Below are 22,880 nucleotides of genomic sequence, written 5' to 3' on the forward strand. Positions count from 1 at the left end.
CCACCCACTTTGACCTCCCAAAGTGTTGGGATTACAGGCGTGAGCCACCTCGCCTGGTCTATAAATATTCTTAATGGCTTCTAGAATAGTGAATGCTTTCCAATGTAAATTTTTCAATTTACATTGCCCAGATCAGAAGAACCACTATGGCAGCCAGAGCCCCACAAAATGCATTTCTTTTTTTTTTTTTTTTTTTTTTTGTAGAGAAGGAGGCTCACTCTGTCGCCCAGGCTGGAGTGCAATGGCACAATCTCAGCTCACTGCAACCTCCACCTCCTGGGTTCAAGCAATTCTCCTGCCTCAGCCTCCTGAGTAGCTGGGACTACATGCACATGTTGCCATGTCCAGCTAATTTCTTTTTTTTCTTTTTTTTTGGAGATGGAGTCTCGCTGTATCGCCCAGGCTGGAGTGCAGTGGCACGATCTCAGCTCACTGCAAGCTCCGCCTTCCAGGTTCATGCCATTCTCCTGCCTCAGCCTCCCAAGTATCTTGGACTACAGGCGCCCACCACCACGCCCGGCTAATTTTTTGTATTTTTTGTAGAGACAGGATTTCAACATGTTGCCCAGGCTAGTCTCAAACTCCTGAACAAAGGCAATCCACCTGCCTCAGCCTCCCAAAGTGTTAGGATTACAGGCCCAAAATGCATTTCTTAAACAATACAACTTGAAAGTCAAGATTACTCCTTGATCCATAGGTTGCAGAATGGATGTTGAGTTAATAGGTGCTATTATCCACTATGGTTTGGATATGAGGATCCCTAACCTCATGTTGAAATTCAATCCCAATGTTGGAGGCAGGACCTAATAGGAAGTGTTTGGGTCACAGGATGGATCCCTCTGGAAGGGCATGGTGCCATCCTCGTGGTCATGAGTGAGTTCTCACTTTATTAGCCTCTGGGAGAACTAATAGTTAAAAGGAGCCTGGCACCTCCCTTCTCTCTCACTTCTCTGGCCATGTGACCTGCACACACCAGCTTCCCTTCCCCTTCTGCTGTAAGTAGAAGTGGCCTGAGTCCCTCGCCAGAAGAAGATGCTGGTGCCATGCTTCCTGTACAGCTTGCAGAACCATGAGCCAAATAAAGCTCTTTCCTTCATAAATTACCCAGCTTCGGGCATTCCTTTACAGCCACACAAATGGACTAAAGCCAGCAGGCACGAAAACAAAATTAATCTCCTTGTGCATCTCCATCAGAGCTCTTGGTTTATCAGGTCTATTGTCAATGAGCAGTGTTAGTATTATTATTATTATTATTATTATTATTATTATTATTATTATTATTATTTGAAATGGAGTCTCGTTCTGTCACCTGGCCTGGAGTGCAGTGGTGCGATCTCAGCTCACTGCAGCCTCCGCCTCCCTGGTTCAAGTGATTCTCCTGCCTCAGCCTCCCAAGTAGCTGGGATTACAGGCATGCACCACCATGCCCAACTAATTTTTGTATATTTTTTAGTAGAGATGGGGTTTCACCATGTTGGCCAGGCTGGTCTCGAGCTCCTGACCTCAGGTAATCCAACCACCTTGGCCTCCCACAGTGCTGGGATTACAGGCATGAGTCACCACGCACAGCCAATGATTAGTATTATTTTGATTTTTTTTTTTCTTTTGAGACAGAGTCTCACTCTATTGCCCAGGCTGGAGTGCAGTGGTGCGATCTCGGCTCACTGCAACCTCTGCCACCTGAGTTCAAGTGATTCTCCTACCTCAGCCTCCTGAGTAGCTGGGATTATAGGCGCCTGCCACTGCGCCTGGCTAATTTTTATATTTTTAGTAGAGACAGGGTTTCGCCATCTTGGCCAGGCTGGTCTTGAACTCCTGACCTCGTGATCCACTTGCCTCAGCCTCCCAAAGTGCTGGGATTACAGGCGTGAGCCACCGCACCCGGCCTGATCAGTATTATTTTGAAAGAAATCTTTTTTCTGAGCAGTAGGTCTCAACGGCAGGCTTAAAAATATTCAGAAAACTATGCTATAAACAGATGTGCTGACATCCAGGATTTGTTGTTCCATTTATAGAACACAGGCAGAGTAAATTTAGCATAATTCATAAGGGCCCTAGGATTTTCAGAATAGTAAATGAGCATTGGCTTCAACTTAAAGTCACCAGCTGTATAAGCCCCTAACAAGAGAGTCAGCCTGTCCTTTTTTTTTTTTTTGAGACAGAATCTCACTCTGTCACCCAGGCTGGAGTGCTGTGGCAGGTGCAATCTTGGCTCACTGCAACCTCTACTTCCTGGGCTCAAGCGATTCTCCTGCCTCAGCCTCCTGAGTAGCTGGGACTACAGGCAAGTGCCACCACACTCAGCTAATTTTTGTATTTTTAGTAGAGACAGGGTTTTGCCATGTTGGCCAGGCTGGTCTCAAACTCCTGACCTCAAGTGATCCACCCGCCTCAGCCTCCCAAAGTGCTGGGATTACAGCGTGAGTCACCAGACCTAGCCTGTCCTTGGAAGCCAGGCATTGACTTTTCCTCCCTAGCTATGAAAGTCCTAGATGTTATCTTCTTTCAACAGAAAGCTGTTTCACCCACACTGAAAACCTAGGCAGGGCATAGGGGCTCACGCCTGTAATCTCAGCATTTTGGGAGGCTGAGACAGGCAGATCATTTGAGGTCAGGAGTTCGAGACCAGCCTGGCCAACATAGTGAAATCCTGTCTCTTCTAAAAATAAAAAAATTAGCCAGGTGTGGTAACGTGCACCTGTAGACCCAGCTACTCGGGAGGCTGTGGCAGAAGAATCTCTTGAACCTGAGAGGTGGAGGTTGCAGTGAGCCGAGATTGCACCACTGCACTCCACCCTGGGCGACAGAGCAAAACTCTGTGTCAAAAAAAAAAAAAAGAAAAAACCTATTGTGTAGCCACCCTCACCGGTGATCTCAGCCAGATTCGGATAACCTGCTGCAGCTTCTCCAGCAGCACCTGCTGCTCTACCTTGTACTTTCATGTTATGGAGGTGGCTTCTTTCCTTCAACCTCATGAACCAACCTCTGTTAGCTTCACGCTTTTCCTCTGCAGCTTCCTCACCTCTCTCAGCCTTCATAGAATTGAAGAGAGTTACGGCCTTGCTCTGGATTAGGCTTTGGCTTAAGGGAATGTTGTGGCTGATTTCATCTTCTCTCCAAATCACTAAAATTCTTCTTCTCCGTTATCAGCAAGAAGGCTGTTTTGCTTTCTTATCATTCATGTGTTCACTGGAGCAGCACTTGTAATTTCCTTCGAAGGACTTTTCCTTTGCATTCACAACTTGGCTAACTGTTTGGCACACGAGGCCTAGCTTTCAGCCTATCTCAGCTTTCAACATGCCTTCCTAAGTTTAATCATGTCTAACTTTTGGCTTTTTTTTTTTTTTTTTTGAGAGTCTCGCTCTGTCGCCCAGGTTGGAGTGCAGTGGCACGATCTTGACTCACTGCAACCTCCACCTCTGGGTTCAAGAGGTTCTTCTGCCTCATCCTCTGAGTAGCTGAGACTACAGGCGTATGTCAACACACCTGGCTAGTTTTTTGTATTTTTAGTAGAGATGGCGTTTCACTATGTTGGCCAGGCTGGTCTCGAACTCCTGGCCTCAAGTGATCCAACCGCCTCAGCCTCCCAAAGTGCTGGAATTATAGGCATGTGCCACCGTGCCTGGCCTCCGGCTTTTGGCTTAAAGTGAGAGATGTGTGACTCTCTCCTTCACTGGAACACTAGAGGTAGGGTATTAATTGGTCTAATTTCAAAATTGTTGTGTCTCAGGGAATGAGGGAGCTCACGAAAAGGGAGAGAGATGGGGAAATAGCCGGTCAGTGGGGCAGTCAGAACACATACAACATTTATCAATTTCATTTGCTGTCTTACATGGACGTGGTTCGTGATGTCTCAAAACAATTACACTAGTAACACCAAAAATTACTGGTCATAGATCACCATAACAAAAATGATAACGAAAAAGTTTGAAATATTGCAAGAATTACCAAAATATGATATAGACACACTACATGAGCACAGGCTGGCCGAAAAATGGTGCCAATAGACTTGCTCAATGCAGGGTTGCCACAAACTTTTTTTTTTTTGAGAAGGAGTCTCGCTCTGTTGCCCAGGCTAGAGTGTAGTGGCATGATCCCAGCTCACTGCAACCTCTGCCTCCCAGGTTCAAGTGATTCTCCTGCCTCAGCTTCCCATGTAGCTGTGACTACGGCACATGCCACCACACCCAGCTAATTTTTTATATTTTTAGTAGAGATGGGGTTTCGCCATGTTGGCCAGGCTGGTCTCGAACTCCTGACCTCAGGTGATCCGCCTGCCTCGGCCTCCCAAAGTGCTGAGATTACAGGCCTGAGCCACCACGCCTGCCCCAAACTTTCAATTTGTAAAGAAGGCAGGACCTGGCTGGGAGCAGTGGCTCACGCCTATAATCCCAGCACTTTGAGAGGCCAAGGTGGGTGGATCACCTGAGGCCAGGAGTTTGAGACCAGCCTGACCAACATGGTGAAACCCCGTCTCTACTAAAAATACAAAAATTAGCTGGGCACAGTGGCAGGCGCCTGTAATCCCAGCCCTTCAGGAGGCTGAGGCAGGAGAATCGCTTGAATCCAGGAGGGAGAGGTTGCAGTGAGCCGAGATCGTGCCATTGCACTCCAGCCTGGGCAACAAAAGCTAAACTCCATCTTAAAAAAAAAAAAAAAAATGCAGGACCTGCAAAGTGCAATGAAAGGAAGTCTGTCTGTACCTAGGTCAAAACTGATCAAACTGAATACTTTCCATATGTGCAGTTATAGAAATTATTCCTGTATAACTCTGTTTAAATAAGTATCTCTTTCACCTCCCACCTCTGCCTTTTAGAGAATTAAATATCCATGGCAAATGCATTGGGCTTGTTTCTACTTGAGGCACTTACTCTGGGCAAGTTTCCTGGAATTCTGCCAATTTCTGCAAGGGAAGGTGGCAGCAGGTGCGATGAAGTCACCTGAGGACAGAGGCCTGGTCCCCATGCTGGCAGCTGCGCCCACGTCCCTCAGCCCAAACAGAGGCGGGAGGGAGGTGGCCAAATGGCCCTGGGAGCTCCAGTTAGGGAGTCACTAAGACTAAGAGCCCTGCCCAGCCAGGCACTGGTTAAAGCCCTCCCACAGGCCCATGGGGACTGAAGGCATGTCCCTCAGTGGGCAGACCAGCAGGCCCTAAGTACTTCCAGAGTATGGGGCCAGTGGGTCAGTACGGCCACCCTGAGTCTCACTCTCCAAATGTCAAGGAGGATGCCCTGAACACACAGGCTTGGGGCCTGTGGGGAGAAGCTGAGCTCCACAGCGTGGGGGCCAAGGACTCTGCCTTGCCCAACATCCTGGAGATCAAGCACCACAACCTGCCACGCACCACCTGCAGGCCACATGGTGGATGAGGGGCAGGTGGAAATGGCCAAGGAGGTGAGGTCTGCACTCTACTGGGGTCCCTGCCCCACCTGCCACACACCCCTAGGTCACTGCGCCTGGAGGGCCTCAGTGTCTTCACCTGTAAATGGAGGGTAAACTGCCAAGCTGAGAGTTCTCCGTGGCTGGGACACCCTACACTATTCCACAGACTCCCCGTCTAACCTAGGACAAACCCCGGCATCAGTGAGCCCCTAGGTCTCGGCCAGTTGAAGGGAACAACCACGTCAAGAGTCAGAGGAGAAAAACCAAGTTTGGCATCTGCTGAAAACGATGGCTTCCCCTGTTCATCCTGATCAGTTACATGGCTGAAGTTCCCACTTTATTGATTTAAAGATTTCAGCTCTGAGAAAGACACTGTTAAGATAATGGAGACAGGCCGGGCGCGGTGGCTCACACCTGTAATCCCAGCACTTTGGGAGGCCGAGGCGGGCGGATCACAAGATCAGGAGATAGAGACCATCCTGGCTAACACTGTGAAGCCCCGTCTCTACTAAAAATACAAAAAATTAGCCGGGCGTGGTGGCGGGCGCCTGTAGGAGGCTGAGGCAGGAGAATGGCGGGAACCCAGGAGGCGGAGCTTGCAGTGAGCCAAGATCGCGCCACTGCACTCCAGCCTGGGCGACAGAGCGAGACTCCTCTCAAAAAAAAAAAAAAAAAGATAATGGAGACAAGCCACAGACTGAGGAAAATGTTTACAAAACATATATCCGATAAACAACTTGTATCTAAAATATACAAAGAAATCTTAAAACTCAACAATAAGAGGCCAGGCGCGGTGACTCATGCCTATAATCCCAGCACTTTGGGAGGTAGACGCGGGCGGATCACTTGAGGCCAGGAGTTAGAGACCAGTCTGGCCAACGTAGAGAAACCCCAAAAATTAGCTGGGTGTGGTGGCACATGCCTGCAATCCCTGCTTGGAGATTAATTCCAGCCCTTTGGGAGGCTAAGCCAGAAGGATCGCTTGAACCCAGGAGTTCAAGATCAGCTTGGGCAACATAGGGAGACCCTGTCTCTACAAAAAAACTTTTTAGGCCGGGCGCAGTGGCTCACGCCTGTAATCCCAGCACTTTGGGAGGCCAAGGCGGGTGGATCACGAGGTCAGGAGATCAAGACCATCCTGGTTAACACGGTGAAACCCCGTCTCTACTAAAAATACAAAAAAAATTAGCCGGGCGTGGTGGCGGGCACCTGTAGTCCCAGCTGCTCGGGAGGCCGAGACAGAAGAATGGCATGAACCCGGGAGGTGGAGCTTGCAGTGAGCCGAGATTGTGCCACTGCACTCCAGCATGGGCAACAGAGCGAGACTCCACCTCAAAAAAAAAAAAAAAATTTTTTTAAATTAGCCAGGTGCTGGGCGCAGTGGCTCACGCCTGTAATCCCAGCATTTTGGGAGGCCAAGGCAGGCGGATCACTTGAGTTCAGAAGTTCGAGACCAGCCTGGCCAACATGGTGAAACCCTGTCTCTATTAAAAGTACAAAAATTAGCCATGCGTGGTGGCAGGCGCCTTTAATCCCAGGTACTCAGGAGGCTGAGGCAGGAGAATCACTTGAACCTGGGAGTCAGGAGGTTGCAGTGAGCTGAGATGGCGCCAGTGCACTCCAGCCTGAGGAAAAACAGCAAGAAACTTGGTCTAAAACAAAAACAAACCAACAAAAAAATTAGCCAGGCACAGTAGGGTGCACCTGTAGTCAAGGCTACTAGGGAGGCTGAGGTAGGAAGATCACCTGAGCCCAGGAGGTTGAAGCTACAGTGAGCCGTGATTGTACCACCGCTTTCCAGCCTCGGTGACAGAGCAAGACTCTTTAAAAATAAGGTGGGAGGGGCCAGGCGCGGTGGCTCATGCATGTAATCCCAGCACTTTGGGAGGCTGAGGCGGGTGGATCACGAGGTCAGGAGATCGAGACCAGCCTAGCCAACATGGCAAAATCCCATCTCTACAAAAAATACAAAAATTAGCATGGCGTGGTGCCATGTGCCTATAATCCCAGCTACTTGGGAGGCTGAGGCAGGAGAATAGCTTGAACCTGGGAGGCGGAGGTTGCAGTGAGCCGAGATGGCACTATTGCACTCCAGCCTGGGCAACAAGAGTAAAACTCCATCCCAAAAAAAAAAAAAAAAAAATTAGCTGGGCGTGGTGGTGGGCACCTGTAGTCCCAGCTACTCGGGAGGCTGAGGCAGGAGAATGGCGTGAACCTGGGAGGCAGAGCGAACATGGCGACAGAGTGAGACTCTGTCTAAAAAATAAAAAATAAAAATAAATAATAATAAGGTGGGAGGGTGGCGGCAGAGGGCCAAAGACCCGAACAGATGCCTGATATAAGAGGATATACAGACAGCAAATACGCACATGAAAAGATGCTCAACACCTTATGTCATTTGGAAACTGCAAATTAAAACAACACTGAGACACCACTACATGCCTGTCAGAATGGCCTAAACCCAAAGTACTGACAACATCAAATGCTGGTGAGGATGTGGAGCACAGGAGCCCTCATTCACTGTTGGTGAGAATGCAAAATGGCACAGCCACTTTGGAAGACAGTTTGGCAGTTTTGTACAAAGCTAAATGTACTCTTCAATTAAATCAATCCTATATTCCATTAAAGACATTAAAAAAATACATGTAAAGGCCAAGTGTGGTAGCTCACGCTTATAATCCTAGCACTTTGGGAGGCTGAGGCGGGAAGATCACTTGAGCCCAAGAGTTCGAGACCAGCCTGGACAACATAGCGAGACTCCATCTCTATTTAAATAATAAAAAAATACATTATGTAAAAACTTAGTAGGTACATGGAAGCAATTAAATGCAAAATCAAGTAAAAATTCAAGCTGGATATGGGTGAATTAAGAATCTTAGTAGAATCTTAATAGGTGTCAGATAACATGGGTCAATTCAGCAACTTCAGGCTGGTTTATGAGTGTCACCACTTCTAAGAGCCTGGCTTTTATAAGGTACAAGACAAGGTGAGATTTGCCTGTCATTAAAGGAAGCACAGAGTATCAATCATGCAGGATGTAGTTTCCTGAGACACCAAAGTGTAGTATCAAAAGCAATTCCATTGTAAAAGCTGAGTTCTAAATACAAGCGACACCTGAGTGAACACAGCAACAAAACAGCAAAGAAACACACAAACATCAAAGTTTGGCACTTACTGTAAACAATGGCCAGGTGCGGTGGCTCACGCCTGTAATCCCAGCACTTTGGTAAGCCTAGGCGGACGGATCACAAGGTCAGGAGATCAAGACAATCCTGGCTAAAATGGTGAAACCCCGTCTCTACTAAAAATACAAAAAATTAGCCAGGTGTGGTGGCAGGCGCCTGTAGTCCCAGCTACTCGGGAGGCTGAGGCAGGTGAATGGCGTGAACCTGGGAGGTGGAGCTTGCAGTGAGCCCAGATCGCACCACTGCACTCCAGCCTGGGCGACAGAGCAAGACTCGTCAAAACAAACAAACAAACAAACAAACAAACAACGGCACCAGTTACAAGGCCAAAGCATCCACTCGCTACAATGCCACCACTGTTCAAATTAATTCCACCAGAGCAGCCCTGGGTGCCCGAGAGGTAGTGGCTCAAGGTAAGACTGGAACTGGTGGCCTGGAGATTGTCGGGAGGGGAGGGAGGGAGGGGCAGTGTCTATGATCAGCATGCCCTCTGCTGGTGGCCGGGGTGCTCCTCGATAGCGCCAGACTGCGGCAGATGGTCCAGTCCCCCAGTGATACATTTTACAGCAAAGCACACAGACCACGGGCCTTCCCAGGTCCCAGCCAACAAGTCCCATGGGGGCAGGTACCGTTGGGCCTTCTCCCAGTCCCGGGCTCATGGGCACACAGCCAGCAAGAGGAATGCTCTGGCCCTCCTGAATCAGGGACTTGGTTTCCTTTACTCTCCCAAGGCTCAGAGAAGCTCCCAGCCTCACACAGCTCAGCTGCCAGCCCCTGACCTGCCATAGCTGAACCTCCAGCCCTGAGGCCAAAGGATTCAAGGCAGGGCACAGAGACATCTGAGCTGTCTGGCATGGCCCTGGTAAGGTCTCCTGTGGGGACCTACCCCCAGGGAGGCCCAGACAGCGAGAGCCTATCATGTGCCATGGGACAGGCAAAAGCCACAGATGAACATTTAGGGGGAGGAGGAGGGAAGGAGGACAGAAAGGCTGGCGAGGGCAGGGGCTGGTGTTCAGCAAGGGGAGGGAAACAGATGTGGACAGGTGCACGGCGTGGCCTGCCCCTGAGAAGTAATGTCCCTAGAGTCCTAGTTTTATTATTGCTCAAGGACTTTTTTTTTTCTTTGAGACGGAGTCTTGCTCTGTTGCCCAGGCTGGAGTGCAGTGGCGCAATCTCGGCTCACTGCAAGCTCCGCCTCCCGGGTTCACACCATTCTCCTGCCTCAGCCTCCCAAGTAGCTGGGACTACAGGCGCCCGCCATCACGCCTGGCTAATATTTTGTATTTTTAGTAGAGAGGGGTTTCACCGTGTTAGCCAGGATGGTCCCGATCTCCTGACTTCATGATCCGCCCACCTCGGTCTCCCAAAGAGCTGGGATTACAGGCGTGAGCCACTGCGCTCAGCCTGCTCAAGGGCTTTCTGTTTCTGTCCTCCAGGTCAGAGATAAATGACCCTCAGGTATAAGAGTTCAAAGAAAGGATGCAGCGGCTGTCTTTGGCCTCCACTTGCCAGCTGTGACGGCAAGCAAGTAGCTCCACCTCTAATGCCTGCTCCCCAGCCTATAAAGAGGTGTGTCCACACGTGCAAATGGAGCTGGACCCCTACCGCACATCACACATAACAATTAACTCAAGATAGGTCAAACACCTAAATGGTAAGAGCTAAAGCTATGTAACTTTTTTTTTTTGAGACAGGGTCTCACTCCGTCACCCAGGCCCCAGTGCAGTGCTGTGGTCTCTAACTCACTTCACTGCAGCCTTGACTTCCCAGGCTCAAGCAATCCTCTCACCTCAGCCTCCCAAGTAGCTGGTACTACAGGCATGCACCACCACACCTGGCTAACTTTTTTAATTTGTAGAGATGGGGTCTTCCTATGTTGCTCAGGCTGGTCTTGAACTCCTGAGCTCAAGCAGTCTTCCCACTTCGACCTCCCAAAGTGCTGGGATTACAGATGTGAGCCACAGCATCTATCCTATAAAACTCTTTAAAGAAAATAGGCCAGGTGTGGTGGCCTATAATCCCAGCAATTTGAGAGACTGAGGTGGGCATATCACTTGAGGTCAGGAGTTCAAGACTAGCCTGGCCAACGTGTTGAAACTCTGTCTCTGCTGGAAAAAAAATACAAAAATTAGCCAGGTGTGGTGGTGCACACCTGTAGTCCTAGCTCCTTGGGAAGTTGAGGCAGGGGAATCACTTGAACCCAGGAGGCGGAGGTTGCAGTGAACTGAGATCATGCCACTGCACTCTAGCCTGGGCATCACAGCAAAGAAAAAGTAAAAAGACAACCCAGTGAGTGGAAAAAAATATTTGCAAATCACATCGGAAATAGCCAAACAATCATGAAAAAGAACAAAGCTGGAAGATTCACACTTTCTGATTTCAAAACTTACCACAAAGCTACAATAATCAAAACAGTATGGCATTAGCATAAAGACAGATATAAGAATCAATAGAACAGAGAGCCCAGAAATAAACTCAAATGATATATATGGTCAAATGATCTATGTGACAAGGGTATAAACACCTTTCGGCCGGGTGTGGTGGCTCGCCCCTGTAATCCCAGCATGTTGGGAGGCTGAGGTGGGAGGATCACGAGGTCAGGAGTTCAAGACCAGCCTGACCGACATGGTGAAACCCCCCGTCTCTACTAAAAATACAAAAATTAGCCAGGCATGGTGGCATGTGCCTGTAATCCCAGCTACTCAGGAGGCTGAGGCTTGAACCCAGGAGGCGAAGGTTGTAATGAGCTGAGATCACGCCACTGCACTCCAGCCTGGGCAACAGAGCAAGACCGTCTCAAAAAAAAAAAAAAAACAAGAAGACGACCTCTCAATGGGGAAAGACAATCTTTTCAACAAATGGTGCTAAGGAACTGGATATTTACACACAAAAGAATGAGTTGCACCTTTACCTAATAGCATATACAAAAAAAAAAAAAAACTCAAAATGGATCATAAGCCGAAAAGTAAAACCTAAAACTATAAAACTCTTAGAAGAAAACATAAGGCTAAAGCTTTACAACATTGGATTTGGTGATGATTTCTTGGCTATGACATCAAAGGCACAAGGAACAAAAGAAAACAGACAAATTGTATGTCATAAGAACTTTAAAATGTGTGCATCAACAGACAATATCAACAGAGTATAAACACATCCCACAGAATGGGAGAAATTATTTGCAAATCATATATCTGATGAGGGATTAGTGTCCAGAATATATAGAGAACTCCTAAAACGCAACAATAAAAAAACCAACCATACACATTGCATTCATGTATCAAAATACCACACTATACCCATAAATATGTACAATTATTATGTGTCAAAAACAATAGAAGCAAAAATGGACACGGACTTTCTCAAACACCAAAAGCTATAGTCTTCAGTTTCAGAATACTGATGAAAATTTGAAAAATATATACATGGATACTTATATAGATACACAAGGATATGTATATAACATGCACATAATATATACACCTATACATGTCTATGTTCAAGTATATGAATAAATATACAAACAGTTTAGCAATATATTTAATTTTCAGTTTTAAAAAAAACCTGATTCAAAAATCAGCAAACAACTTGAGTAGACATTTCTACAAAGAAAAAATACAGTTGACAAATAAACACATGAAAAGACATTCAACATCACTAAACATTAGGGAAATGCAAAGCAAAACCACAATGAAACACCACTTCACACCCATTAGGATGGCAACTATCAAAAAAAAACAGAAAATAACAAGTATTGACAAGGATGCCCAGAAACCAGAACCCATGTACACTGTCGGTGGAAATGTAAAATGGCATAGCCGCTGTGGAAAACAGTATGGTCGTTTCTTTAAAGATTTAAAATAGAATTGCCATATGATCCAGCAATTCCACTTCTGGGAATATATCCTAAAGAACTAAAAACGGGGTCTCTGCTGTGTTCATAGCAGCATTATTCACAAGCTAAAATGTGGGATTAACCCAAGTGTCCATCCACAGATGATGGAATAAGCAAAATGTGGTCCATCCATGAAATGGAACATGATTCAGTCTTTAAAAGGAAGGGAATGAGCCGGGCGCGGTGGCTCACGCCTGTAATCCCAGCACTTTGGGAGGCCGAGGCAGGTGGATCATGAGGTCAGGAGATCGAGACCATCCTGGCTAACACGGTGAAACCCCATCTCTACTAAAAATACAAAAAAAAAATTAGCTGGGCGTGATGGTGGGCGCCTGTAGTCCCAGCTACTCAGGAGGCTGAGGCAGGAGAATGGCATGAACCCGGGAGGCGGAGCTTGCAGTGAGCCAAGATTGCGCCACTGCACTCCAGCCTGGGCGAAAGTGCAAGACTTGGCCGGGCGCGGTGGCTCACGCGTGTAATCCCAACACTTTGGGAGGCCGAGGCAGGCGGATCACGAGGTCAAGACCATTCTAGCCAACATGGGGAAACCCCGTCTCTACTAAAAATACAAAAATTAGCTGGGCGTGGTGGCGGGCACCTGTAGTCCCAGCTACGCGGGGGGCTGAGGCAGAAGAATCGCTTGAATCCGGGAGGCGGAGCTTGCAGTGAGCCGAGATTGTGCCACCGCACTCCAGCCTGGGCGACAGAGCGAGACTCTGTCTCAAAAACAAAAAACAAAACAAAAAAACTGAGCTGGACATTTAAAAATGATTAAAATGAGCCTGGGAAACATAGTGAGACGTAGTGGGTGACAGAGCAAGAAAATATGGCTACAAATACGTATATGGTAGCCAGGCGCTGTGACTCACACCTGTAATCCCAGCACTTTAGGAGGCAGACGGAGATGGGCAGATCCCTTGAGCTCAGGAGTTTGGGACCAGCCTGGCCAACATGGCGAAATCCTGTCTCTACAAAAACTACAAAAATTACCCAGGTATGGTAGCACATGCCTGTGGTCCCAGCTACTCGGGTGGCTGAGGCAGGAGGATCACTTGAGGTAGAGGCTCAGTGACCGAGACTGCACCACCACATGCGCCCCAGAAGACAGAGTAACACCCTGTCTCAATTTAAAAAACAAAACAAAACCTGCCATCTTAACCATATACATATACACATATCATTAAGATGGCAGTTTTTTTGTTTTTTTTTTGTTTTTGGACAGAGTTTCGCTCTTGTCACCCAGGTTGGAGTGCAATGTCACGATCTTGGATCACTGCAACCTCCGCCTCCCAGGTTCAAGTGATTCTCCTGCCTCAGTTTCCCAAGTAGCTGGGACTACAGGCGTGGGCTACCACGCCCAGCTATTTTTCGTATTTGTAGTAGAGACGGGGTTTCACCATGTTGGCCAGGCTGGTCTCCAACTCCTGACCTCAGGTGATCCACCCAGCTTGGCCTCCCAAAGTGGTGGGAATACAGGTGTGAGCCACCATGCCCGGCTAAGATGGCAGATTTTTTTTTTTTTTTTGAGACGGAGTCTTGCTCTGTTGCCCAGGCTGGAGTGTAGTGGCGCAATCTCAGCTCACTGCAAGCTCCGCCTCCCGGGTTCATGCCATTCTCCTGCCTCAGCCTCCCAAGTAGCTGAGACTACAGGCGCCCACCATGACGCCTGGCTAATTTTTTGTATTTTTAGTAGAGACGGGGTTTCACCTTGTTAGCCAGGATGGTCTCGATCTCCTGACCTCGTGATCCATCCGCCTCAGCCTCCCAAAGTTCTGGGATTACAGGCGTGAGTCACCGCGCCCGGCCTGATGGCAGATTTTTTTAACGGTAAATTATATATTATGTGTATTTTAACACAGTTTTTTTTTTTTTGAGAGACAAGAGTCTTGATCTGTTGTCCAGGCTGGATTGCAGTGGTGCAATAAGCTCACTACAGCCTCAACTTCCTGGGTTCAAGCAATCTTCCTGCCTCAATCTCCTGAGTGGTTGAGACTACAGGCACACCCCACCTACCCTGCATCTGGCTAATTTTTTTTTCTTTTGAGACGGAGTCTTGCTCCGTGGCCCAGGCTGGAGTGCAGTGGCACGATCTTGGCTCACTGTAAGCTCCGCCTCCCGGGTTCAAGCCATTCTCCTGCCTCAGCATCCCAAGTAGCTGGGACTACAGGCGCCCGCCACCACACTCGGCTAATTTTTTGTATTTTTGGTAAAGATGGGGTTTCCCTGTGTTAGCTAGAATGGTCTCGATCCCCTGACCTCGTGATCCGCCCGCCTCGGCCTCCCAAAGTGCTGGGATTACAGGTGTGAGCCACCACGCCCAGCCAACATCTGGCTAATTTTTTAATCTTTAATAGAGATCAGATCTTGCTATGTTGCCCAGGCTGACAACTTTTTTGAATTGGAAAATTTTCTTAATTAAAAAATTTTATCTGAGAAGGGACTTGCATCTAGAATATATAAAGAGCTCTCATCACTCAACAACAAAAAGACAATTACACCAATTGGAAAATACAGGAAAGACCTGACTAGACAGCTCTCTAAAAATACACAGTGGTCAATAAGCACATGAGAAGATGCTCAGTATCATCTTCTCTCATTAGGGAAATGTAGATCAAAGCCACAGTGAGATACCACTGCACATCTACTAGCATGGCTAGAATTCAAAAGATGGATAATAACAAGTGCTGACAAGGATATGGGGAAATTGAATCCTTTTTACACTGCTGGTGGGAATGTGAAATGGTGCAGCCACTTTGGAAACAGTCTGGTAATTCCTCAAGAGAATAACCACAAAATTACCATATGACCCAAAAATTATATTCCTAGGCGAGCTGTTTTTACTCATGCTTTTAATAACAAACATGGGTGTCTCTTTCAACCCCACTTCTCCAACTCTCCGACACTAGGTGGGTGTCCTACAATTCAAGTAAAGTCTGGCACTACCTTCTGCGGTATAGGAAGGTAAGGTTGAAAGCGCTAACCCGCTAATCCTCCCTTGGCCTTTCTGGAGACCAGCTCCCATCCTGAAGCTATATCTAGGGCCCCCAGCCACCAGTTCTCTCATTAGCATACTAGACACTCTTAGGACTACAAAGGTCCCAAGGGCTTGGGGAGCTCCATGTCAGGAGAACAAAAAATCCTCCTACCACCCCTTTCAAAATTGATGGAGGTCATGATCCCACAGCTCTGTGAACATAAAACTGAAATCTACTAGCTTGTACACATTAGTGAATGAATTGTATGGCATGTGAACTATAACCCAATAAAGCTGGCACAAAGGGGGAGGTATGTATGCCCACTCAACAGAGTTTCTGTAAAGTTTAGGAGAAATAAAGTATGCAAAAGCCATCTGTAAGCAGCTCAACACTGCACTGTTAGGATCAGCCAATCGTGCAGGAACAGCTCCCTCTGGCCCTGCACCAACCTTCTGGTCTAAAATCACAGCTCAACATCCAGCCTAGGGACAAAGCAGGGCACGGATGCCAGCTGCCAGCTGTGAGCCAGCACAGCTGCTGGCTTGCAGGAGCCTTGATCTGCAGAGGCCCAGATTCCCACAGCCCAGGGTTGCCAGGTCACCTCCTCCAACAAAGCCCGGGTGTTCCGCTCGTCCCTAGGGGAAGAACATGCCAGGTCTCCACTGAGGGTGGCCACTTAAGTGGGCACTTTCAATCCAGCAAAACACACAGCTCATCCAACACCCGACCCTACTACCCTCCCCAAAACTCCTCCAAGTTATGCGGCCCAAGGCCCTGGCTGCCCAGTCGGCGTCGCAAGTGAGACACCATGGGCACAAAATATTCCCAGTCATCCTACCTTCCAGTAATGCAGGCTCCACAGGGTGGGAGATCAGCCCTGGGCCCAACCACCTGGACGGGAGCGCAGCACCCTCGCCGGGGCCCCACACATCCCTGGCCAGCCACCAGCCTCCTGGAAGATGCCTGCCTCCCAAACTCACAGAGCCGGAGAGCCCTGGCAAGCAGCTTCATCCTGCGGTAAGTGGGCAAACTGTTTACCCAGTGACAAGTATGATGCCCAGCAGAGCCCAAGCCTGTGTCTGCCTGGCCGGCTCAGCAGTGAGCCGGTGTGATCCCTCCCTGATAGAAAGCACCAGGCTCCTGCTCCTCCTAGGACCGCCCCTCCCCCACCAGCCCCCGGCAAGCCGCCTCCTCGGCTTCCGGAACTGGATCACAGGATGTTCTCTACAAAAGACCAGTGATGCAAGGAATCCATGACTCGGCCTGAACTCACAGACAGGGAAACAGGACAGGGCCACCACCCCTCTGCGGGAGAGGATGAACTGGGTGGGGCCACAAGCAACACTCATAAGGGTTCCCACCTCCAGGACCTTAAACCTCGCACCACTCAGGCTGGCCCTCAGGCAAGTAGAAGAATGAGTTCCACCTGGGCGGAGTTCCACCTGGGCAGAGAGGTCTTGGCTCACAGGCACCGGGAGAGCTGGAAGGCTGCGGGGAAGCCGAGGAAGGCCAACACACCGCACAACACGGCAGGTGCCTGGCCCTCCTCTGACAGTGGCCCTCAAGCTCCAGGAGGGCCGAGGAAAATGCAGATTCCTGGGCCTACCCCTCCCTGACCTTCCCCGCCCCTGGAGTTAGAGGCAGTAGCTCTGGGGTGGAGGCTCAGGAGCCTGGTTTTCTTTTTATTCTTCATTGTGGTAAACATCAAATGCTTACAAGAGTAGAGGGAGGAGGGAGTGAACCCCTATGTCCCCATCAAGCAGCCCCAAAACAGTCAGCTCAGGGCACCTCTGGTCTCTGCTCCCACCTGCTCCCCATGCCAGGTTATTCTGCAGCAAATCCCGGATTTCCCAGTACGACATCGTAAATATGTCTGCATTTCCTCTCAAAGATAAAAGCTCCTTGTGAAAAACCTAAAGGAGGGGTATGGTGACTCATGCCCACAATTCCAGCACTTTGGGAGGCCGAGGTGGGAAGATCACTTGAGCCCAGGAGTTCAAGACCTGCCTCGGCAACAAAGTGAGATCATGTCTCTACAAAAAATCTTTTTAACATTAGCCAGGCACAGAGGCGTGCACTCGTAGTCCCAGCTACTCGAGAGGCTGAGGTGGGAGAATCCCTTGAGCCCAGAAGGTTGGGGCTGCAGAGAACCATGATTGCACCACTGCACCACTTAGTTGCCTGGCCAACTAAGCGAGACCCTGTCTCAAATAAAAATAAAAACCACAAAACAAAGATCTCATCTAAAATATCATCCAAATTCCTAATATCATTAAATAGCAAGTGACTTCACGTTTCTGTCCTAAATGAATTGAAATCTGCATTTGTGAACTTCATTCACAAGATCCCAAGTCTCTGTGGCCTGGTGAAGAGAAACTGCAGTGTGCAGGGAACAGGGTAATACAGGGCTACGGGGACACAGGAGCGAGGCCCAGCACTGAGCTCGATCCGGTTCCATCGACACGAAATTCTAGAAGAGGCACAGCGAGTGAGTGAAAGCAGATCTTTTTGCCAGGGGCCAACAGTAGGGGAATTTTGGGAGTTTGGAAATATTCGACATCACAACTGGGCCCGCCACTACTCAGTGTGCACACTCATCAAAACTCAGCAAACTGTACGTTTCAAATATTCTTGTGTATGCATTCTAAATCTATCTCAATAAAGCTGGTTTAAAAAAGCAAACTACAAAACAATTATCCTACCTTAAAAAAAAAAGCAGTGATTCCTTAAAATCATTATCAAGGGACTATTCAAGTTTCCCCATTATCTCCTCAATCTTCATCTTGTTGACTCTCTGCTGAAGTACTGTTCACATGCAGAAAACCCATATTTGTAACAGACTTCCCCAGTTATTCCCATGCAGGGGTCCAAGGATGGGGAGGCACATCCTTGATCCCCCTCCCCAGGAGGGCTCTGAGAGTGAGAGGCCAAGGGGTGGGATGGCAAGACAGCCTATGGGGTCACCCCCTGGTGCAGGCTACACAGGCCAGGTGGGTCACACAGGAGAAAGCCACTTCTGGTCTGACCAGAACTGGGGAGCCAGCTAGCTGCAGGTGCCAATTCCAGGGCAATGCCAGGCTAAGTGGCCCACTTACAGCGTGAGGTTGGACAGTGGGTAGACAAAGGCCTCCCCACGCACAGGCTCTCTGGGTTACAAAGACTGCATCTTCACCCAGGGTCCACACATCCCAGCAGCAAGAGAGCCAGCACTGTAAATCATTTTGCGGAATGCTCCAGAATACAAGCTCTGAGTGTGGCTTCTGTAAATCAGGTTCTTTGTTTTTTTTTTTTTCTTTTTTTTTGAGACGGAGTTTTGCTCTTGTTGCTCAGGCTGGAGTGCAATGGCACAATCTCGGCTCACTGCAACCTCCGCCTCCCAGGTTCAAGCGATTCTCCTGCCTCAGCTTCCCAAGTAACTGGGATTACAGGCACCCGCCACTACGCCCAGCTAACTTTTTTTTCTTTTTTTTTGAGACCAAGTCTCACTCTGTCGCCCAGGCTGGAGTGCAGTGGCGGGATCTCAGCTCACTGCAAGCTCCGCCTCCCGGGTTCATGCCACTCTCCTGCCTGCAGCCTCCCCAGCAGCTGGGACTACAGGCGCACACCGCCACGCCCGCCTAATTTTTTGTATTTTTAGTAGAGATGGGGTTTCACTGTGTTAGCCAGAATGGTCTCCATCTCCTGACCTCGTGATCCGCCCACCTGGGCCTCCCAAAGTGCTGGGATTACAGGCGTGAGCCACAGCGCCTGGCCAGGTTCTTTCTTTTCATTAATTCCATTATAAAACCAAAGACAGAGCCCGGCCTGGTGCAGTGGCTCACACCTGTAATTCCAGCACTTTGGGAGGCCGAGGCGGGCAGATCACTTAAGGTCAGGAGTTCGAGACCAGCCTGGCAAACACAGTGAAACCCCGTCTCTACTAAAAATACAAAAATTAGCCGAGTGTGGTGGTGGGTGCCTGTAGTCCCAGCTACTCGGGAAGCTGAGGAGAGGAGAATTGCTTGAACTGGGGAGGCAGAGGCTGCAGTGAGCCAAGATCCTGTCACTGCACTCCAGCCTGGGTGACAGAGTGAGACTCTCTTAAAAAAAAAAAAAAAAAAAGGCCGGGTGCGGTGGCTCACGCCCGTAATCCCAGCACTTTGGGAGGCCAAGGTGGGAGGACCACAGGGTCAGGAGATCGAGACCATCCTGGCTAACACAGTGAAACCCCATCTCTAATAAAAATACAAAAAAAAATTAGCCGGGTGTGGTGGCGGATGCCTGTAGTCCCAGCTACTCAGGAGGCTGAGGCAGGAGAATGGCGTGAACCCGGGAGGCGGAGCTTGCAGTGAGCCGAGATCGCGCCACTGCACTCCAGCCTGGGCAACAGAGTGAGACTCCGTCTCAAGAAAAAAAAAAAAAAAAGACAAAGGTAGAGCCCCTCTTTGTCTTTTCCCTTGGGGGAAATAATTCTAACCCCATAACATACTGAAACTCATAGCCACTCAGCTGCTGTTTATTGACCTGTCAACTAGACCTCAGACACTATTCTAGGCATTCATGGTACCACATGGTACAACACAATTCCTGATCTCAGGAAACTTCCTGGTAGATCTGCATCTAAGAGCATGGCAAGCAAAGAAAACACAAAAAAACCTTGTAGATTTCACACATCTACCTATAAATAAAGCATGCCAAGTTATCTGCCTGCTGGGTGGTGTCCATGCCAAGGTCCCCCTCCATCAGCATGGTTATTCCAGAGCTGGCTACAGTCCCCAGAAAGCCTTGGAGCTTCCTTTAGGAACACCCTGCCCCCCACAGACCTACTAGTAAATTGATGTTTAAATTTCTCTACATATTGCACTCCCCAAAAGATAGCCACCAGCCACAGGTGGCTACCCACCTGAATTTAAATTGATGCAATTAAAAATTCTGTTCCCTTCGTGACCAGCCTGACCAACATGGTGAAACTCCATCTCTACTAAAAAAATACAAAAAAATTAGCTGGGCGTGGTGGCGGGCGTGTGTAATCCCAACTACTCAGGAGGCTGAGGCAGGAGAATCAGTAGAACCTCGAAGGCAGAGGTTGCAGTGAGCCGAGATGGCATCTAGCCTGGGGGACAGGGCAAGACTCCCTCTCAAAAAAAAAAAAAAAAGAAAGAAAAAAAAGCCCCTATCCCTTCAACAATGTCTGAACTGAGAACATGTGACCATTGTGTCTAAGATGGTGGGAATTTGGACGTTCTCACCCCTGCTAGACTGTGACCCCTTAAGGCAGGGGCCACATTTTCCACACGTTTCCCTCCTGGTGCTATGCTTCTTGGCAGTGTCCAGTAAAGCATTGTTAAATTCATGGGCTTGGCTGTGCTAGGCCAGGAGGCTCCTCTTTCAACTTGGGGTGTCAGCTCAGATGTCCTTAAAGGGCTCCCCATCCTAGTACAGTCACTCTCCAGTGTCCTGCGGTTTCTCTGAGTCAAGCCGATGGAACCACAGCCTTCTCTTCACAGGCCTACCCCTACCACCACTCCCGCCTACTCCTTTGGCAGTCACGCTCTGCACCTGAGGCTCACCTGCTCACTCATGAGCAGGGGCAGCCAAGCATCCTCCTCACCAGTCGTCTGGCCAAGGCAGCCACTTAGAAACAATATGCAATTGGCCAGGCACGGTGGCTCATGCCTGTAATTCTCAGCACTTTGGGAGGCCGAGGCGGGCAGATCATCTAAGGTCAGGAGTTCGAGACTAGCCTGGCCAACATGGTGAAACCCCATCTCTACTAAAAATACAAAAATTAGCTGGGCACGGTGGTGCACGCCTGTAGTCCCAGCTACTCGGGAGGCTGAGACAGGAGAATCACTTGAACAAAGGAGGCAGAGGTTGCAGTTAGCCGAGAGTGTGTCACCGCACTCCAGCCTGGGTGACAGAGTGAGACTCCATCTCCAAAAAATAAAGAAACAATATGCAATTGTGAACCTGAGATAGCAGACTTGGTTTACAGTGGGTAAGAAAAAGCACACACACGGGCCAGGCGCAGTGGCTCACGCCTGTAATCCCAGCACTTTGGGAGGCCGAGGCGGGCAGATCACCTGAGGTCAGGAGTTCAAGACCAGCCTGGCCAACATGGTGAAACCCCGTCTCTACTAAAAATACAAAAATTAGCCAGACATGATGGCGGGTACCTATAATCCCAGCAACTCAGGAGGCTGAGGTGGAAGAATCGCTTGAACCCAGGAGGCAGAGGTTGCAGTGAGCTGAGATCGTGCCATTGCATTCCAGTCTGGGTGACAGAGCGAGACTGTCTCAAAAACAAACAAACAAACAAACAAAAAGCACACACTTACTGTATGGAAGTGTCTAAAGCTATACAAAAATCTAGTAACTAGGCTAGGAGCAGTGGCTCACGCCTGTAATCCCAGCACTTTGAGAGGCTGAGGCGGGAGGATCACCTGAGGTCAGGAGTTCAAGACCAGCCTGGCCAACATGATGAAACCCCATCTCTACTAAAAATACAAAAATTAGCTGGGCGTGGTGGCGCACGCCTGTAGTCCCAGCTACTCAGGAGGCTGAGGCACAAGAACTTTTTCCAGCTGGGTGCGGTGGTTCACACCTGTAATCCCAGCACTTTGGGAGGCCGAGGAGGGCAGATCACAGATCACCTGAGGTCAGGAGTTCGAGACCAGCCTGGCCAACATGGAGAAACCCCATCTCTACTAAAAACACAAAAATTAGCCAGGCGTGGTGGCGCACTCTTGTAGTCCCAGCTACTCGGGAGGCTGAGGCCCAAGAATCACTTGAGCCCAGGAGGCAGGGGTTGCAGTGAGCTGAGATCGGGCCACTGCACTCCAGCCCGGGTGACAGAGTGAGACTCTGTCTCAAAAAACAAAAAATCTAGTAACTGTTAGAAGCTGGGTGAAAAAAGACAACATGTATAAATTGGCTATTCACCACCCTGAAGAAGTAAATAAAAGGCCAGCCTTCCACGGGAAGATTTAAATCAAGGTTTCCTTTATTCAGGAGAGGGGTGGGAAGAATACTGGATCTGGAGTCAGAAGACTTGGGCAGGGGCTGTCCCTGGATCTCCTGGAGCAGGATGACCTTACACAGTTACTCAACTCCCAAAACTGCCATTTCCTCCTCCACACAGGTAAGGGTGGCACTACCGACCATCAACCTCCCAGGGAATTGGGCAAACCAAGTGGGATGAGACAGGTATAAGCTCTTTGCAAACCATGGAGCCCAAGTTTCCCAGCCAATACTCAGCAGAGCTGATTCAGGAACCTGATGCAGGCTGTCTGTCTCCAGTTATTTCCTTTTTTTTTTTTGCCCCGCTTTCCCCACCTCCAGAGTCGATGGGACCAGAACAGCCACAGAGCCAAAGTCAAAGGGGCAGGGCTCCCCCAAAGACGTTCCCCCTCTGGAAAAGTCAAAACCGACCTTGAGGTAAGGAGAGGCCCTCGACCAGGCCAGAAG

The 22,880-nt window shown here is 49.0% G+C and overlaps 1 protein-coding gene across 2 annotated transcripts in view, besides 2 other annotated features; it reads right to left on the reverse strand.

Moving 5' to 3' along the window:
- The window catches only part of ACOT7 (acyl-CoA thioesterase 7), a 129,496-nt gene that overhangs the window by 104,950 nt on the left and 1,666 nt on the right, over nucleotides 1-22,880 (reverse strand). Inside the window, exon 1 of one of the 2 annotated variants that reach the window (NM_181864.3) lies at nucleotides 16,273-16,547. The exons of the other annotated variant lie outside the window; for it this stretch is intronic. Within the exon in view, the coding sequence (NP_863654.1) occupies nucleotides 16,273-16,445 (173 nt within the window). The 5' untranslated portion in view covers nucleotides 16,446-16,547. Of the gene's footprint in view, nucleotides 1-16,272; nucleotides 16,548-22,880 lie in introns of those variants that run through there. 2 annotated transcript variants of the gene reach the window in all.
- Nucleotides 5,198-5,697: an enhancer, noted in NCBI's record as "H3K4me1 hESC enhancer chr1:6434479-6434978 (GRCh37/hg19 assembly coordinates)". NCBI's record gives its function as "activates a minimal SCP1, AML or CMV promoter by ChIP-STARR-seq in naive H9 embryonic stem cells {active_cell/tissue: H9 hESC(naive)}" and the evidence as "EXISTENCE:reporter gene assay evidence [ECO:0000049][PMID:30033119]".
- Nucleotides 16,544-17,529: an enhancer, noted in NCBI's record as "H3K27ac-H3K4me1 hESC enhancer chr1:6445825-6446810 (GRCh37/hg19 assembly coordinates)". NCBI's record gives its function as "activates a minimal SCP1, AML or CMV promoter by ChIP-STARR-seq in primed H9 embryonic stem cells {active_cell/tissue: H9 hESC(primed)}" and the evidence as "EXISTENCE:reporter gene assay evidence [ECO:0000049][PMID:30033119]".

This window comes from Homo sapiens, chromosome 1 (genome assembly GCF_000001405.40).
Source record: "Homo sapiens chromosome 1, GRCh38.p14 Primary Assembly".
NCBI classification, from domain to species: Eukaryota; Metazoa; Chordata; class Mammalia; order Primates; family Hominidae; genus Homo; species Homo sapiens.